Below are 6,000 nucleotides of genomic sequence, written 5' to 3'. Positions count from 1 at the left end.
CTATAAAAAGGAATGAGATCATGTCCTTTGTAGGGACATGGATGGAACTGGAAGCCATTATCCTCAGCAAACTTATGCAAGAACAGAAAACCAAACACTGCATGTTCTCACTTGTAAGTGGGAGCTGAACAATGAGAACACATGGACACAGGGAGGGGAACAAAACACACTGGGGCCTGTTGGCAGGTGGAGTGTGGGGAGGGAGAGCATCAGGAAAAATAGCTAATGCATGCTGGGCTTAATACCTAGAGGGTAGGTTGATAGATGCAGCAAACCACCATGACACACATTTACCTATGTAACAACCTGCACTTCCTGCACATGTACTCTGGAACTTAAAATACAAATAAAAATAAAAGAATTGTTTCAGAAGTCAAGACCATGAAGCCAAGGCTGCTCAACCTAACTAAAAACACGGAGTCTTAGAGAATGCACACGTTGTCCACCCAAATCTCTTCTTTCTGTCTTAATAATTTCAACAGTGCTGTATTTCTAGTGTATGGAACTGCGGTCATGGTTCCCCAGCTCAACTACATTTCCCAGCATCCCTTGTGGGTAGGTGAAGTCACATGACTGCACTCTGGCAAATGATGAGTTACCTCTATTTCTGAAGCTGAAAGATACTGTCATGATTTAACGAAAAATTGTCTTCCAGGATGAGGAACACCACGGTGAGTCAGTCCTGCATTTGGGGAGAAATTGCTATCAGGACCCAGTAGGTCTAATGGAGGAATCCTTTCCCTGTGTTTTTTGCATGCGAAAAATAACTGAGGAATAATCTAAATTTAAATTTTTCTTGGGGATCCAGTTATCCAAAGAATTCCTGGGAGCTCTGTGAGAATCTTTACACATCCACCAATCCTTGCTTTACTTGAACACCAAGAACATAAAGATACTTTTTGAAAATTTTAATTTCCCCCTCAATTTTTTTTCCCGATACATACATTTTCTTAAGTTAAACAAGTCCCCAAGTTTTCTCATTAAGTCTTCAAACAAGATGAGCTTTATCCTCTCAGGGTAATTGCTAAAAATCAGTAGTTCTTTCTGATATTTTTTTGCTGGAAGAATTTTTGCTTGAATTCCATAGGCATTCATTTCCCTGAATGAATAGATGATCTTTTCAGCTGCTTGGGAAAGATTCTCCTTCTTCTTTCCAGGGTAAATTCACCTTCAATCTTTGCTGATCATTCATTATGTTGATGGGGGGAGTACAATTTACTAAGACTTTATGTTTTTGCAGACATTTTGGAATTTGACTTTCAAATTGTGTGTGTGTTTTCTGTCTTGTTCATTTTGGAGACTTTTCATACAATCTGTATACTGTTATTTTATCCACTTTCAGATAATTATGTGTAAATTTCATTGCTTTTTCTTCCAGAGATTTTAAAGACTAATTTACCTTAACACATAAATCAGTTTCATCAACTTTCCTTCTGATTTCTAGCAATTCTCCACCTTCTAATGCATTTATACTCAATGACAAGGGCTCACTATCCACTGCATCATCTCCAAGAATGGCAGTCTGATCTGTCTTCAGCAAGTATTTTCTAATATTGTTTGTGTTTGTTCATTAAATCCACTCACTCTTTCTTTGCATCCATTGGCTTCTTGGGAAATCAGGTTTATGCATCTATGAAAACGGAAATTTTCATTCACACCATCTTTTATTGCCATCTTAAGTGAGACTGTTAAATCTCATACGTCTTTCCATTTTACTCATTGATTAATGTCATGTTGAACTGTATTGTGATAGGGCCACTGGATTTCAAATACCATCAAACTTTTTCCTGTCTAGTATTTTGAAACAATGACTTTTCTTTTCATGCATGCACAGATATAGTCCTGCTCATTTTAACAGTTCTTTAGGATTCAAATTCTAAAACCATCAGCAGTGAACCATGTAATTCTTTTCACCAAAAGCAAATTCTTGCTCTGAACCCATCAAGGTTTTCAGTACATGCTATTTTCATACAGCCCTTGATTTTTTTTCAGTTAAGTTCATTTAGATGGTCAGAAATGTCAGTTAAGTGTCATTTGAAGGTAATAACTAACCCTGAAAAATTAGTGGCTTTGGTATAGTTTTCCAAAAATTTAGGCTGGGTGTAGTGGCTCACACCTGTAATCCCAGCACTTTGGGAGGCCTAGGTGAGAGGATTGCTTGAGCCTAGGAGTTCAAGACCAGCCTGGGCAACATAGGGAGACCCCATCTCTAGTAAAAAGTAAAAAATTAGCTGGGCGTCGTAGTGCACACCTGTATAGTCCCAGCTACGTGGGAGGATCACTTGAACACGGAAATTCAAGACCATAGTAAGCTGTGATAGCACCACTGCACTCCAGCTTGGGTAACAGAGTGAGACTATTAAAAGGTACATAGGAAAGAAGGAAGGAAGGAGGGAAGGAAGGAGGAAGGAAGGAAGGAAGGGAAGGAAATTTGATTCTTTTCACCCATAAACTTGTGATGAGACACCAGTTTTGGAAAGCTGCCCTGGTTTGGTAGAAATAGCAGATGGCAAGATTCTGATATTATTTTCTACTATGAAGTTCAAAACAGTCAGAAGTGGGCAGCTTGGTTTTTCTGAAATTTATCATTCTGACAACCGACCCAGACCTAGAGGAGATTTTTCAATGCTATCTGACAGATCTAAAACACATCTTCTTAGAGAACCGTGCAAAAGTGGCAGCTGTTCTGTTTGCTAGGCTTCATTGATCCAAACTACAGGGTTGAGAGTTTTCCTTCAAATGGATAAAGTGAGGGATTCTGCAGTTCTATGAAGGATTTGAGTCAAGGTGATACTTGCCTCTTGAATCCACAGATGCCATTTTTTGCCTTTGAGGACCTGCTAAAGAGTTCAGACTTTTCCTACTGTATGTTTTCTGTGCAGAAGTCATGTTTTGTGGTGAGGACAATGGATTTTGTTTCATTTCATAACTTTTCTCTGCAAATGAGACCTTGAGGCTGCAGAGAAAAAAAATATTGGGGTGCAAAAATCCAAATGGAAATAGGCTCATTAGTTTAGCTAAGGAGGACACTTGTGTTATCTTGTGATTCTAATGACATTCAAGCTTTAATCACAACATTTTTGTGCAAAAGGAAAAATATGTATATTACGTGTATGTGTGTGTATCTCCTGTAAAAATAAAAACAATATATTGTATTAAGGAGGCCTTGCAGCTGTTGTCCTTATAGCTTCAGAAATTTTATTTTTTTCAATGTATTATTCTTAGGTCTGTAGTATGAAAGTTCTTTTAAAATAAGCTGTACAACAATTTCACAAAATATTCAAAATAAAAAAGAGGGAGTTTTGGATATTAATTGTCACTAAATTTAATGATTAAAATACTAAAAATTTTACAAGGGGTGACCACACTAAAATTCATATATCCCCAAAGATCTGTTAAAAATTAGATTTTTCAGGCTGGGTACAGTGGCTCATGTCTGTAATCCCAGCACTTTGGGAGGCCAAGATGGAAGAATCACTTGAGGCCAGCAGTTGGAGACCAGCCTGGGTAACAAAGCAAGACCTCATCTCTACAAAAATATTGTAAAAATAAGCTGGATGCAGTGGTGTGTACCTGTAGTTATAGCTACTTGGAAGGTTGAGGCAGGAAGATCACTTGAGCCCAGGAGGTCAAGGCTGCAGTGAGCTATGATTGTGCCACTGCACTCCAGCCTGAGGAACAGAGTGAGACCTTGTCTCTAAAAGAGAAAAAAATAGGTATTTTGAACATTACAAAAGCCTACAATCTTTTTAAAATTGATTACTTTCATTAAATTATTCTCCATTTAATGTGATTTTAGAAGTAATCCTTTTATATCTGGAAAATGAAGAATAATTTATTATTTCACCCAGAAAATGATAAAGCAGTCTATCAAAATATAGCATTTTAGAAAGCTAATGAAGTAAATAATGTTCTAATTAGGAAGACCTACTGCCAGTAGGAGTAATAGATAATAACAATGCTATTTGCTATTCCTTGTACGTTAGTAGGAAAATGAGAAAAATAAGCTATTAAAATAACTTATTTATTTATTTATTTATTTTTGAGATGGAGTCTCACTCTGTCGCCCAGGCTGGAATAGAGTGGCACAACCTTGGCTCACTGCAACCTCCACCTCCCAGGTTCAAGTTGATAATTTGTCATACTCCGGTTTGAATTTTTGTTCCTGAACTAAACCAAGGGTCGGGATGCTTATTCTGGTGGCCCAAAAACAAGATGCAGATGAACTAGGAGAGAAGGAAGTTTATTTCTGTAACCAGTTATATGGAGAAGGCCTGGACATTACAGCCAGACTAACTCAAAATTACAAAGTTCTCTAGAGCTTCTATACCTTCTAAGTTGTATGTCTACGTGTAAGTGTGCATTCATCTAAAAACAGTGATTAACTCCTTCTAATCTATAACTAAGGTCTGAGTCCTGAAGACCTTCCTCTGGAGCCTCAGTAAACTTATTTAATCTAAATGGGTCCAGGTGATCAGACACTATGGCTGATGTCTGTAATCCCAGCACTTTGGGAGGTTGAGGCAGGCAGATCACCTGAGGTCAGGAATTCAAGACCAACCTGGCGAACATGGTGAAACCTTGTCACTACTAAAAATACAAAAATTAGCTGTGTGTGGCGGCATGTGCCTGTAATCACAGCTACTTGAGAGGCTGAGATAGGAGAATTGCTTGAACCTGGGAGGTGGAGTTTGCAGTGAGCTAAGATCATGCCACTACATTCCAGCCTGGGCAAGACAGAGCGAGACTCTGTCTCAAAACAAAACAAAAAAAGAAGGCAAAGGAATTCTGTGACCAACATGTTTCACAATTTCTGCTCGATTTTATAAATGATGGCAGTTTCCCCCTGAAATCTCTGCAGTTTTATCAGTCTCCCTCCCTGTCTGACTGCCTCAGTCCTTTTCTATCTCTGCCAACTCAAAATGGTTGAAGCAATAAAGACAGCATCCGTAACAAGATGTACTTAGATTCAGGACCTCTGGGCTGGATCAATTTGAGGGCTTAACAATGTCCTCCAGTAGCCAGTTCCCTGTGTCTTGCAGTCCTGTGTTTCATATGTCATTGGCCCACTTCACTCATGGCAGAAGCTGCTGTACCTCCAGACATCACAGCCTCATCCACTAATATCCGGAGGCCCAGTTAAGATCATTTCCTCTCAGATTTTCTCTTTTAAAAACAAAGACATTCTTTCAGGTATCACCCCCAATTCCTCATCCCTGATTTACACACAGCCCCTAACTAAAAGTAATCAGGTGTAGGCCAGCCATGGCAGCTCATGACTATAATTCCAACACTTTGGGAGGCTGAGTCAGGAGGATCACCTAAGGTCAGGAGTTCAAGACCAACCTGGCCAACATGGTAAAAACTCGTCTCTACTGAAAATACAAAATCAGCCAGGCATAGTGGTGGGCGCCTATATTTCTAGCTGCTTGGGAGGCTGAGGCAGGAGAGTCACTTGAACCCAGGAGGTGGAGGTTGCAGTGAGCCAAGATTGTGCCATTTCACATTTCACTCCAGCCTGGTCAAAAAAGTGAGACTCCCTCTCAAATAAATAAATAAATAAATAAAGGGATCAGGTGAGAAAGCATGAAGGAACCCTGGGAAAAAATACAGGCTCCACCAACAATAAGGAAAAATAATGGTTGACTGGGTAGCCAGCAGCATGTGCTGCAAATTATTTGCTTATTTTTGTGTCAAGTTGTTTGCCAATGTAGTTCTTTATATATTATCATGTTAATCATTATCAAAATATAAAATATTGAGTAGTAATTGCAATTGTGACCCACACACATACATATAGATGCATGTTCTGTGTATCGCAAATGTGTTCCCTCATCCTGTACTTGTCTTCAATTCTTAGAACTTTGTCACAATCATTTTGTGCAATGAAATAGCTTGGCACAAACATCTGTTTTTGATTTTTTTTTGTGGTTGTTTGAGACAGAGTCTTGCTCTGTCACCCAGGCTGGAGTGCTGATCATGGCTTACTGCAGCCTTGAA

Source organism: Homo sapiens, chromosome Y (assembly GCF_000001405.40).
Source record: "Homo sapiens chromosome Y, GRCh38.p14 Primary Assembly".
In the NCBI taxonomy this organism is placed as follows: Eukaryota; Metazoa; Chordata; class Mammalia; order Primates; family Hominidae; genus Homo; species Homo sapiens.
Note: the sequence above shows the minus strand (reverse complement) of the source record.